At 44.3% G+C, this 14,357-nt stretch overlaps 2 pseudogenes; one reads left to right on the top strand and one right to left on the bottom strand.

Moving 5' to 3' along the window:
- On the bottom strand, positions 246-2,116 carry LOC100420449 (tripartite motif containing 48 pseudogene; annotated as a pseudogene).
- ANKRD33BP2 (ANKRD33B pseudogene 2) lies at positions 7,955-9,000 on the top strand (annotated as a pseudogene).

The raw sequence follows: 14,357 nt of genomic DNA, 5'->3' as shown, positions 1-14,357 counted from the left end.
CGATATAGTTAGGTAAAGAGAAAGAAAAACATTTCCCAGCTGTCATTAAGACTTCACTCCAAGCTTTTGCGTGAAGCAAAAGATCCCGACTCTCTTCCATTGATTTTAACTCCATTCAGACATGTCTGTCATCTATTATTTCACTCAGTGGCAGTCAGAAATAAACAAAATATATATATATATATTTTATGCCATGATCATGAATAAAGATTTTTCAAAAATTAATAAAGAACCAATACATGTACTTTTAGTGTTTTTACCATTTTTAATAGTAACACAATACATGAGTTTTAATAACATTAGGAGGCAATTCAAGACATAAAACAGAACCTATTTGTCCTGTTTGATAAGGCATAAGGAAGAGGGCTTCCTGGAATAAAGGGGTTCTCACAGCAGATGAACACATTTCTGATTGATCTCTGGTCAGAGGTGAACACACCGAAAGACAGGCCTGAGAGGAATGTGAGAAGGCGCAATTAGGGATGGTGTATATAGGGCAGCTTTGATTAACATCAACGAAGCTCACAGTTCTAGCTTCACAATCCAGGAATAATCCTATGCGGCTGGAAGGTCTTGGGACATATTGCAGTGTAAGTGGGGAGGTGGTAAAGAGACTGCACTCCATGTCATTCCTGACGCATCCAAGACTAAAGAGTCCCTCCTCTCCATATATATTGTCATTCTGATTCTTCCCTTTCCAATACTTATTACAGACACCAAAAGCCCAATTCCAAGAGTCCCCCACATGGACCTCCCAGTAATATTTGCTGGAGGTGAAAGTCTGAGCACCCCATGCAAGAAAACTTGTAGGTGTTGCAGTGATATGTGGCGGATTTTGACGGTCAGATCCAATACAAATGTTTCTCAAATCTCCACATCGAAAGATACGACTGTTGGCTCATCATGATTCAGATTAATATCCACTGCAAAAATAAATAAATAAATAAAAGAGAAAGAAACAAAACATACATAGACATGTGTCAATAAGCAAAAATTGTTCTATCGAGAAGTTAATTTACCAGGAAATGTAAAGTCACAAGGACGATTTCGCTTGTAACTTCTAATAAAACATGGAGATGATTAATTTAACTAAAAGACAAACAAAACACTAACCACCGATATTAAAAATGCTTTGAAATCTTACATATTGAGAGCCAAATGTAAGACCAACTTCTTTCAATCCAATTTTCCAAGCAAAACTTGCACATTAAATGCCCTAAATAGTATGCTGTTATCAAGATCATTATTTAGAAATGTTTCTTATTCTTAAAAACTAGTGCTATCATTTTGGAAAGAATGTGAAGATTTTCAGTTACTCAAGAACTGCTGTTGATGACTGGATAAAAATCCGTAAGTACATGTCATAAGTGACAATTTAAAGCAGATTTCTGTAAAATCTTTTACCAGTCTCTCTGTGGTCCTCCATGCTAGCTTGGGGCTGAAGCTGGATTTTAAACTTAACCTGTAGCTTTTCATATTGCAATTAACCTGAACTTCTTTTTGTTTGTAATTTTACTTGTATTCGCAAAATGATTTCTTCTTTTTATGTTTACCCATTAACTAATTTTTTTTGCAATTCATGATACATATCCATTTAAAAAATTAAAAACCCCCAGCAATCCCCAGTAAACCATAATCCCCAAAAGAACAATTCTTAGCTGTTCAAATGAATACACTAAGGAAATGTAAAATTTTGTATTTAACATTAAATAACTCACCTTCATTCTGAGCATTGTTCCATTTGCTCCTTTTTAAAATTTGCTACACTACTCCTTTTTCCCATTACATTACTCAGTACATAATAGGCCAAAATGTATTTGTTTTTCACTATCTTTCAAACTTAATGCTATAAATCTGACTATACAGACACAGATACAAAAGGGTTGCATGATTATGTTGTTCACTTATGTCTATAAGGAAGTAAAATATTTGATAAAGGGTGAAATATTACCTATGTGGTCCTAACAATAATAATATTTAGATAGTGGGAGCACTGGCTATGGGTGGAGACTTACCTCAGAATTGGTTGAGCCTGTCCCTCAGTCCAGTGATGAGCCCTGCACTAAGCTCTAGATTCAGAGGCTGGGGCATGTGCAGCAGCACAGACTCACTCCTGCAAGGAAAAACCTGCAGTTATAACACCTACAGCCATAAAATAAATAAAAATCACTATTCCTATTTAAAAGACAGTTCATGAGAATCCTTTGAATCCACAAATTTGATTATTCAAAAATTATTACTTCCTTTTCGGAATTAATTTCTATTTACAGTTTCCAAATTTTAAAGCATAGTGGGAGAGTCTGAGTCAGAATTCAGTCTGATCTTTCTTTTTTTCTGCCCCACATGTGTAAGGTTCCTTAGCCTTATGGCCTTGAGAATATTTGGAAATGAAATTCTGAGTTCCACTTCTTGGCAGACTCCCCTGACATCTTTGTCTGAAATAGCAGGGTTCTGGGGAGACTGCTGCATCTGCTGTTTCCTTTTCAAGATAAAGAATGTGAAACTTGTTCTAGGCAGCTAGACCTGCCTTTTAGAAACAAGCTTCCCTAGAGACTTATACAGTTCTAACACTCCACAGTTTTTTCAACTTATTTTTCAGGACTGTTAACTGATATGTATGTAGGTATGAACAACAAATCATCAATTTTTCACTGCTAAAATATTTCCCCCACTTCTCTCCTGCTTCCTCTGGTGACTTTCTCACCATCCACAAAACAAAACTTTATCTTTCACCTATGCAGGCCTTTAAGCAATAAAACAAAATCAGGAATAAACATTTCTTTATTTCACTATTTATTTATTTATTTATTTATTTATTTATTTATTTAGTGTTCTTGTCTTTTCTGGTGTAAGAGTGAAAGCAGATGCAAAAAAAAGGTAGTATCAATATCTTAATCATTTATGTCATGACTTTGGTAGAGCCTGCTTTGACATTCATGGAAACTGAAAGAATATATGCTAAAATCTAGGTAAACTCTCACCTGTGTAATATGTCTCCAAAACCCTGTAAAAAAATAGAAATATGTGGGACATTTCACAAGATGCATCTTTCACCAAGTTCAGTGTGAAATTTGGAGTCAGTTTCTAAAGATATTATTTCCCTACCATCTAGAAAGCATTTTCTATTTCTTCTGTAATGAAAAACCCAGTTTTAGTCATTTTGTCATTAATTAATGTCCTGGTAAAGTCTGAGTCTTGAAGACATTCTCTCCAGAAGTGAAGGGAGAAGAGGCCCAGAGAGTCTATGCTCTATGGTAACTTCAAATAACCTACTCAGTCATCTTTCCCAGAAAGTGTTACACAAATGAGTGGACCTCAAAGTAATATCAATGTGAGCTTAGATTCCCAAAACTTCTGATCTTGCCATGTCCTCAAATTAACCTAAATGTAAATGAATCACTCACTATTTTATACATGTTAAACAACCCAAAATAGATTATTGACTTAGAAATGATTCAGTAGGTGCATTTCTCCAACATGTTTGTGCCAATATAGGAGTTGGCCAAGAAGAAGACTGACATCTTCAACAAGTGAATTTTACCTCTGTGTGCAGGAAACTCCCATTTATTGCTGTGTCCCATGCAGCAGGAAAGCTGGAAAAAAGTAGGAGGGACAAGAGTATTTGGCTTTAAGGAAATCACCTGGTGTTTCTCACAATGCTTTTATTCCCGCCCTATAGGTTCAAAATTAGGCAGATGAGACACCAAGTTGTAATGTATCTGGGAATGATGTTTACACTCTAAACCATATTAATTCTTATCATTTGATTCAGAAAACAAATTAAATGACTGGCACAACTGAAAATAACCCAAGAGATTTGTTCAATGAAACATAGCTGAACCTCAACCAAATAGATAAGCTGCTGCCTAAGGTTAGCACCAGTTCTTAGTTATTCAAGAGTGAGTAAACCCTGCTTTTTACCACTGTCGAGGTGTCCAGTGTCATCCTTTTTAGAGCCTGGCTAGCTGAGGGTTATGTGGCAAGAAACATCTTATTTGTATTTTAGTCCCTTAAATGAATGATTTGGATAGGAATGATTCTCCAAATTTTGAAAATACTTATCAGAAATATTCTCTTATTCCTTCACTCTATGCCATGTAGACTATAATAAACTGTCTCTCTTCTGCCTCCACATATTTCATGCAGAACATTAGGGGTTAGCAGAGAGAAATCTTATCACCAGTTTCTTTGGACTTGCTGCTTTTTTCCAAGTGATCTGAGATGATAAAATTCCTCACCTCAGGGCTCTAACCCAGCACTCCTTTTTGATTTTCACCTATGTTTTGTGAGCTTTTCTGTTGATGCTAAAACTCTATGCAACAGTCAAAGCCTCATCATTTAATTACATTATTTCTTGCTAGATTTCAAGGAAAAATTTATTCCTGACATTCTTCTAATTTAGCTCAGATTCACTTTGGCAGAAAGACAGAATTAGCTACTTTACAATCATTTAGTATTTGACTCTGATTTTGGAAGATGAAGCAGTTTTTGTGTCAATTTACCATATGCTCTTAGCCATTTAAAAAAGATAATCTTATTGTGTTGATTTTCCTAGAGATACTTACTTTATTTATTCTCTTCACCTATCATAATTTATGTTAGAGTATTACCAAGACTTACTTACAATTGAAATAAATCAGAGAGACCACTAAGAACATTGCCAATCATTAATACATAAATCTTGAACTTCCTGAGATTTTTATCCCTAAAATAATTATTTATCAATAGCCTGGTTACCGTTTTTTTAATACAAGAATTTACACCCTTCCATAGAACAAAAAGTAAAAATTGATAAAGAGGATAACTTGGAAAAAAATTAATCTAACAAAACAGAGACACATTCTTGACTAGCACTTTATTTCTGTACTAAATTTAGGAGACATGTAAATGGTAGGTTTCCTAAGTGAAATAAGACAGACACACAGAGAAAAATACCTCATGGTCCCACTCATATTTGAAATCTATTTTTATAAGTTTCATGCATTCAAAAAGGTGGTTACATTGGTGGGAAGAAAATAGGTAAATGAAGGGCAAAAGTTGTAAAGGTGCAGTAATGTAGAATAAATGAATCTGATGTACAACCTGTAGGTATATTAGATAATCTTGTATTGTTTTTGGGAAATATACTGAAGGACTAGATTTTTGATGTTCTTATCATCAAAAAGAAGCAGAACTAAGTGATATGATAGATTTGTTAATTTTCTTCATTATAGAAATCATTTCCTGATGCACATGTATCTCAAAACGACATATTGTGCACCTTGAAAATATAAAATAAAACAAATTAAAAAATAAAGGTAATTTTGTTCCTGCATGTAAGCTGAAAATAAGTGAAGACTGGGTCAGTAATAACATTGCTTTGCTGAATTAAGAGAATTCTAATGAAATATTTTTAGTTGGGAAGCTATCTGTATTAAATAAAATTGATCTAAAGCTGGTTACAGTGGCCATACTTATAATCTCAGTGCTTTGGCAGGCCAAGGCAGAAAAATCACTGGAGGCCAGGAGTTTGAGATCAGCCTGGGCAATTGGGTAGCTTATCTCTACCAAAAAATAAACAGAAAATTAGCCTTGAGTGGTGGTGTGCACCTGTTGTCCCAGCTTCTCAGGAGGCTGAGTTGGGAGGATTGCTTGAGTCCAGGAGTATAAATCTGCAGTGAGTTCTGTTTGTGCCATTGCACTCCAGCCTGAGTGACAGAGTGAGAACTTGTCTCAAAAACAGCAACTAATTATTTTTGGTGGCCATTTTACTTGAAAGGTATAATTCTTTCTTCTACAATTAATAAATCTGCATATGTCTAGGCCAGCTATATCAGGTAGAGCTTGTCCTCTAGTGCTTATATCTACAAAACAAGTAAGACAATTATAAGGAGGCTCTAAGCAAAACAATTTTTTCTCATTCTGGACTTTGAGGTCTTAATTCTTTAGACTCATTTTCTGTCTCAATAGTGGATATCACCCTGACGCTTAATTTGTCCAAACACCTCACATAACCTGAGATTTTACATAACATATAGTTCATAGTATCAGTACGTTCTTATGCCTTAAAATTCTCCAGGCATTCAAGGATACTTCTATGTGGAAACTCAGACCTTCTACTGCATTACTGAAGAGCACATTTGAGACTCACAGCTCTGGTTGCAGGAGTCTGTTAACAGGTCTGGACAATGAGTAATGTCAGTCCAGATAATTCTGAGGAAGGCTTTCTGCCTTGTTATGGGGAGGATAATCAATGGAGACTCCAGACAAGTTCCCAGTCACCATTCCAGCATTTAGTTGCTGTTTTTGTAATCCCAGCATTTGGGAGGCCTAGGCAGGTGGATCACTTGAGGTCAAGAGTTCAAGACTGGCCTGTTCAACATGGTAAAACTTTGTCTTTACTTCAAATACAAAATTAGCGGGGGGCGGGGGGCGGGGAATATGCATTAGAAGAGAAGGAGAACATACTTAACATACCATTGGAAGGTGAAATTCCTAATACTTGAGAATATTTTTGAGAACTGTCTAATTCTCACTATAGAAAGATGTACCCTTTGAATGACATTAAAAATTCACTAGAAGAGTGAAGAATAATAGTTAAAATGTCACGTAAGTAACAAGAGTCTCAAAACATAAAGCGTTCTCAAAGGTTAAAGTACGTATTTGAGATAGAGGAGAGAATAAATAAGAGTTAATTAATTAGACTTTATTGTGTGAAAATACTTTTCTGAAATCCTCCGTAATAATTGAAGATATAATTACAATAATTAAAATATACAAAAAATAAAAGCATGAAAATAGTGAAAAATTTTAAAAAGGGTAAACTTGAAAATTATTTAATTTTTAATCTCAAAAATCAGAAAGTGATTTTATCAATGTCCTAAAAAATTAAAATAAAAACAAACTTAATAATGTAAAAGAAGGGAGGTTTCCACCGGGCTGGCTGCCAGAGCTAGGGCTTCCCTGGGGATGCAGAAGCAAGAAGCAGGGACCTTGACGCGCAACAGACTTTCCCAGACAGAGCCTCGGCCCCCCGCGCAAGCCTCCAGCCACCAGCATGGTGCTGCTGGCTGGGACCCAGCCACAGGGTGGCGGGGTGCGCTGCATGACCCCGCCACCGCCGTCCCCACTCCTAGGCACCCAGGTCGAGGAGGACCGTGCTGACTGCAAAGAGTTCCAGGACTTCTCCAGTCTGCCCGACACCTGCAGCATCGCCTGGGACGACTCTTTCTACCCTTTCCAGGAGGAGGAGGAGCATGGTGTTGAGGGCTTGGAGAGCGTCCTGGAGGAGGGCGTCCTGGAGGAGGTCGTATTGGAGGCGTGGGGCTGCTGCAGACGTTGGTGCGGCGGGGGGTGAGCGTTGAGAAGACGCAGGAGACTGACCACAATGGCTAGACCGGCCTTGATGTCGCCTGCTACCACGGCTTTGTGAATATACCCTGGTGGCCTTAGCTGAGTGCCACCACATCGAAGTCAACTGGCAGGACAGGGAGGGGAACGCAACCCTAATCATAGCTGCACAGGCAGGAGCTGCCCCTGGCCCCATGGGCACAGTTGCCTTAGACACTGGCTCTCAGCCTTGCGCTTCCTGCGTCAGCATCACCTGGGCTGGTTCTTTTGAGCTTTAACACAGATCTGGTGGAAACACAGGCTGCCAAACCCGGCTGCTGGAGTCTTTCTTTGAATAGGCCTGGGGTGGGGCCCAAGAATGAGCAGAAGAACAGGTTTCCTGGTGAGGCTGATGCCGCTTGCCCAGGGATCCCACGTTGAGGACGGAGGGCTTTGTGGTTTTCATGCCTGATGATGGCCAGGAACCCTTCTCAGTAGGCATTGAAGACCAGCAGAGTCCCAGACCCCAGGAGAGATGTTGTCAGACAGACACAGAGGCATCACGGAATTAAAGTGAAAATGAGGAAAGGAGCTGAACATCTTCTTCATGACTTTCCTGCGCTGTTTTACTAAAGAGGCTGTTCTGGCCCAGTCAGGGCATGCTATCATCACCAACTACTTGTTGAACTACGTCCTGGGTCTTGACCTTGAAGGATGGACGCGTTCGGGTTGAAAGCCGCCATGCAGGGTGGAACCAGTGGCATCCGAGCCCTGAGCTGGCAGGGGCGGGTGTCCACGCGAGGGCCCCCGCCGTGGGATGCTGCCAGAGGAGTAGCCACTTACACGTCCGCCTCATTCAGAGGCTCCTGGAGCGCCCCTGCCAGCAGCGGTTGGGGAAAAAGTACCAGCTTGAGCTGCCTCCGCTCCACGAGAGGGCGCCAATGATCGAGGGCTCGAAGAACTGCCTGCAGAGGGTCAGGGACTGCGAGCTGTCCGCGCTGACGCGGCGCTCCACCTGTGGCCCGGAGGACCGGGGCGCCCTGGACCACATGGTCAGGATGACCACCAGCCTCTAACAGCCCCGCCGTGGCCCTCGCGTGCCAGACTGTGTGCCCCCAGAGCTCCCTGGGCGTGGGGAAGAGGCGACTGGCGGTGCAGGAAATCCAGACGGCTCAGGAAATTCTGGCGACGCGGCGGGGGGTGGGGAGGCAGGCGCAGGAGGCAGGAGAAGCGGAGGGCGCAGAGTAGCACAAGCGGCCCTACCCAGAGGCCGCGGGTTCCCGGGAGGGCTCCCCAAGAGCCGGCCTCCCACCTGTCCCGCTGCCAGGGTCCTGGGGCTCTGCCGACCCCGCCCCACGGAAGGCCAGTCTCCTGCCCCTGCAGCGCCTGCGGCGGAGCAGCTTATGGCCCGGCGTGGTGGTGCCCCGGATCCGCCTCTGCAAGGCGCCCGCGCCCACCTTCCAGCCCCAGAGGCCGGCGTGGAAGGGCAGCACCAAGGACAGTGGCCACCTGCGGATACCCAAGTGGCCTTACAAGGTGGCCACGGAGAAGAAACCGGAGGCTGAGGAGGCCGAGAAGAAGCGCCAGGCCAAGGTGCAGGAGAAGGGCCCGCCGCCCTGGAAGAAGAGGACGTGAGAATCCGCGGGTGCTTGAAACGGGGTTCGAGGGCAGGGTGAGGCCGCGGGGCTGGGCACCATGGCCGCTCCGGGGACCACCAGGCGGCGCGCGTTTCCACGCTGTCTTTCCAGAATGCTCCCAGGAAGGGGCTGGGGGAGCCACAGCGATTCGCCTGACACCAGCCACCCTAGCAATCAGTACACCTAGCGGGCGTGTTGCCTAAAAGGCTCCCTTTAGAGAACCTCAATTAAGATGTTTTTAAAGATCGATTTATTAGGCCGGGCGCGGTGGCTCACGCCTGTAATCCCAGCACTTTGGGAGGCCGAGGCGGGCAGATCACCTGAGGTTAGGAGTCTGAAAGTAGCCTGACCAACATGGAGAAAACCCGTCTCTACTAAAAATACAAAATTAGCCGAGCATGGTGGCACATGCCTGTAATCCCAGCTACTCAGGAGGCTGAGGCAGGAGAATCGCTCGCACCCAGGAGGCAGAGGTGGCAGGGAGCCAAGATCGCGCCATTGCACTCCGGCCTGGGCAACAAGAGCCAAACTCTGACTCAATCAACAAAACCTCAATTTATTAAAGAGTATTTTCTCTGTGATTTTGTATTTTTAATTGTTATCCAATTTGTCAAGTTTTACAAGTGATAGGGCCCCTTGTATCCAAGACAGTTTTACTACACTTGCCTGAAGACCCTGTATTTAAAATACTGTTTCTAGCAATACATATTTATAATATCTATAGGAGTTTACACAGAAATCATGGGATTCTCTCCTTTTTGGCTGTTTGTTTTGGTCTTTTCTTCCCATTGTGGGTGCACATGCACACTGCATGTTTTTATTAATTAGATTAAGTGATGCCAGATATTTCTGTTTGATGGAGGGATTGACTCATTCAGCCACATGATCAAGTGAGAAAGAGATATCATATTTTATTGTATCTTTTTAGAAAGTACTATCCATACATATTGGGGAAAAACATTTATCGTCAAATTATAAAACAATGCAGATATAAGCATGTATGTATTGCTAGAATTAAACTCTTTTTAATCAAGGAGTTTTAGATAAACTGGATAGAAAATCTTTAACATATTAAAAATAGATATCAGGGAAAAGTGTCATTTGATAAAATGGGGGAAATGTAATAGATGATTACCAGAAATACAAAATTAAGCCGTATATGCTCTTAAGTAAATCGAATCCAGACATCTTTAAAATATAAAAAAAGGATGCAACAAGAGTAAGATGCAAATTAAAGGAATTGGGGGAGGTGATGTTTAGAACAAGCAAAGAGAATGCAATGGGAAGCAAACATATTTTAGGCAAATTCTCCTGGAGTGGACCAGACAGCCCTCTTTTCCAGACTCAGTTCCAAAGAGTCCCTTATGTGGGTATTTCTTTTATTTTTCCTTTGAGGACTGCACTTGGTGTTTAGTTCAACCTCATGCGGACCTCATGGAATTTCCAAGACGTAGGTCCTTGGCATTGTGGCACCTTCCTGCCACACGCACATAATTCACAGCATTACCAAGTCACCATGAGCTCCACGCTCACCTCTGTCAGCCCAGGACCCAGCCAGGCAGTGTCACATGGTCTCCCAGGCATGCCTTTCCAAGCCGGCTATCCCTGCTGCGAAAGTTGTGAAGGCACTGGTCTGGGGAGCTGAGCCCTGGGCCTGTCCTAAAGCTCCATAGGTGACTGCACTGCATCCCACATGGAGAGCTGCAGCTCTAACAGAGGGATTTTGAGAGGCCTCAGTCGCCTTTAAGTGGCACTTCCAGGACACCCATCTTGAGCTCTCACAAATGGCTCCACCTTCTCAAGAATGTCTAATTGTCATTGGAACAGCCAGTGTCTGGCAGCTTCGCTCGGGCTGATGTGGCATCTGACCCTTGGTGGGTGGCCAGACATTCCTTCCTGTTTCTGCCATGGGAAGTTGACACTGGGAATGGTATGGAGCCCCCACTTCTACACTAAGCCTTGGGTGTCTGCTGCTTCCAGGTCACAAATGGATATTTCTGGTCCTGACCAGCCACTACCACACTGTAACCGATGCTCATAGTCTCCAGGGATGTGCAGAACAGCAATGGCAGGACAGCAAACAACTGGCGATTTCCCCAGGTCCCACGCTGTTCCGGAGTGGGCGTGTTGGGTCCCTGTTCCCAATGTGTTCCATCCTTACCCAGGTGCACAGGGTACCTTGGGGCCAGCACAGGGCTTGTCAAGTAATGCTCCTGGTGTCCACAAAACAGCTCCAGAGATACCTGCATTTTGAAAAGCCTGCCAAGCCAACAAGTATGGGGCAGGACCCAGATTGCTTTGGCAAATATGAAGGTGAGCTGGCCACTTGCCTGGTGAGTAGAAGCTGCCTTTACCTGGCCAGTGTATGCAACTTGAGAGAAAATGACAATTTCACGGGGGGGTTCTGGTGGGACTGGGAAGCCTGACCTTCCCCGGAGCTTTGGTATGGCCCCAGTGGAAAGACTGGATTTTGAAAACCCACCAGAGCCAACTGAAAGAAGGGTCATCCCTGATGAGATCCCAGACTCCCCCTGGTCTCTCTGGACTCACTTTAGGCGTGCCTTGCCTGTTGGCATCCCTTCCCTTTGGCCCATGAGGCAGGTCCAGGTAGCTTCTGCAGCTGTGTGCCTGGGTACTGGCCCAGCACTTCTCATTTTTGCCATGTGGAAGCAGATTTGCTAGTAGAGGAATTTTCCAAGTCAAAGGAAGTGTCACCGAGACTCTTTCCTCCACCTATCGAGAACCCATGATCTTGGTTTCTTATTATCTTTGGAGTGGGCAGCAGAGGAGACAAGCAGGCCTCCAGCCAGGCTCAGGGAGTGTGGGAAGGCAGGGAGAAAAGTCTAGAAGATGGGGAAGTAGAGCCACCTTGAGGGGGTGTCCTGGGGTCAGTGTCGAGGTGATCAGATGAGCCAGTTTATATTTAAGCAACATTATTATGTTCAATTATTTTGGGTAAGGGATTCCTCAGGGGAGGTGTGGTCATCTGGTCCCAGAGGTGGAGTGCAATGCCCACTCATCTTCCTGAGCCATTTGGAAGCCCTTTCTTCTAGCCCTAGGTACTGGTGACACAGGCTCCTCGGTCTCAGGAGGTGCACAGGGCTGGGGGTGGTGCAGGCTTCTTGTCACTTACATACTCAGCACGATTGGGCATCAGGCATTCAGAGATCTTAGAGTGGCCTCTCTAAAAACCTGGTGTCCTAGGAGAACATTTATTATTTTTGTCTATTTTTGTTTCTTTGAACTGCTGCATTCACTCACTGAGGGCTCGCCCTCCGTGCACCCCTCATGTTGTTCAGGAAGGAGGGGACTGACAAGCATGGACCCCTTTCTCCCCTTCTGTCAGTTGCCACCACACTGTCCCCACTGGCTTTATCACCATGTTCTCCCACCCCTGTTGCCTCATCTCTTCTTCCTCATTCACCCTTCCTTCCTTTGCCTGTTTTCTTCCCCAAGTTGGTTAAGTTCTTTATCATCCCTGGCACCACCTACCCTGAGGTCTACCAAGGACAGAAAAGCAGGGGCCTCTGTGAGGCAATGTGGTGTTATCATGGTGGGACCTCCAGACCCCCAGAGTGAGTGAACAGCAGGCCTGCCAGCATCTGTGCTGATGGCTAAGAATTCCTACACCGCCGTGCCCCTCCCACCCCCTCCTCTTTGCTCAGAAGGGAGACCAGGTTTGCTCTCTTGCAATGACAGCCCAGCCCCTGCTGTGCACAGGGATGGGGCTCAGGGTCCCTCCCTGCACTCTGATGATAATTAACTGTAGATAGTGAATTTCAAGTTGACAGCTACCTTCTCAGGAATTTATATATAAATATAGTTAAAGGAAAAGCTAAAGTCTATTTTACTACTTTTTAGTGTTTGTGAACTTTAAGCTTAAACTGGACAGAATAAATATTTCTCAGACAATGTCGATGCTTCTGATTACAAGTCCCTTGGTGGAGAATTTTTTTGGTGATTAGAGATTGGGGACTCTGGCAGCAGAAATGGCTTTGCGGTGGGTGTGAATTCACTTCTGTCCCTCGGAGAGCCTCCTGTGGATGTGAAAGCATGTATTAACACCAGTGAAATCCACCTCCATGTGCATGGAGGTGGCTGATGAGAACACAAATGAGCCAGTCCTGGCACTTCCCTGCAGAACCGGTCACTCCTGGTCTGACATTGAAGCATGTGAATTAAGAGTGACATTTTTTTCTACTTGCTTCTGTGAATAAAGTATTCTACAGTCAGCCAGCACTAAACTCACTAGAAAGGAGGAGGGAAGAGCGTGGAGCCAATCATCTAGAATTACCTCGGTGTGCAGAGGCTGTCCCTTGGCTGCACTTGGGAAAAGCAGTGTGAAACATCCTGTGCCTCTTTCTTCTGGAGCTCCTCCTGACAGTCTCCTGGCAACACTAGAGACCTCAACACTATGGAGATCAGAATTTCAATAGCTTTGTCATCTCAGCATTGACCACTCCTGAGACCCGAGGCTCCTCCTGGGAGCAGGAGACCGCGAGTTCTTGATGTTCGTTGGAAAATAGGATTTATGAATGCAGGAGGGCCGTGCTGGACTCCTCTGCCTTCTTCTCTCCCTGCTGTCAGCAGTGACCAGGTCTCCAGTGTGGACGCGAGTCTGTTGTGGGTGAAAGAGAAGCCCCTGGGGTAAGGCCAGACCCCAGGCCTGAAAAGGATGCAAAGCCTGCTGTTTCAGGCTGTCAGGAAGAATCGTGGGTACAAAGTGAATATGATGAAATGCATCCCAGAGAGGAAATGAATGTGCCCTCACTAAGAAGTGGGTCTGGCTGCCAGGTCTCTGGCAGCCCACCGGCAAGAGGACTACAACCCCTGCAGCCCTGCCATCCACACTACATGATGTGGGGAGTCTGTCTCTTCACTCTTACCCTGGGGACCCAAGCCTGCTTTGAGGAGTGAGTCACAGCCCTGATGTGTGCCTTGCATTACTCTTTCCCCAGGTGTGCCCGGAGACTCACGCTTGCTCATTTCTGTCCTGACACATCTCGCTGGTCCTGCGGTGGTCAGAGTCCTCGTGTTCTGTGTCAGCTCCTAGACATCATTAGTCTTTCACGTGATAAAGTATGAGCACTTTTCTCTTTTACTGTATTTGGGGAAATTCTAACACTCTCCCCAGGGATTTGCACAGGTCCCTCTGTCTCCCATGGTGGGTAATTCTATGGATTCTGCACCTGGCAGTCAGCACTCCCCCTTGCAAGCCCCTGGGGTCCCTGTTTCTGTGGGCCTGGTCCTTGGTTTCTACCCCAGTACTTTTTTGCTGGGACCTGCCTAGAACCGCCTGGAGGGCCATGGTCTAGGGAAGGACAGGTAGAACCCTGACCACAACAGATCCTTCTAAAACAACAAAGTCACCTTGATGACCACGACTGCAGTGGGGTGAATGCCATCGCAGCG

Source organism: Homo sapiens, chromosome 11 (assembly GCF_000001405.40).
Source record: "Homo sapiens chromosome 11, GRCh38.p14 Primary Assembly".
NCBI classification, from domain to species: domain Eukaryota; kingdom Metazoa; phylum Chordata; class Mammalia; order Primates; family Hominidae; genus Homo; species Homo sapiens.
The sequence above is the reverse complement of the archived record's forward strand: the minus strand, read 5'-3'. Positions and strand labels throughout refer to the sequence as shown.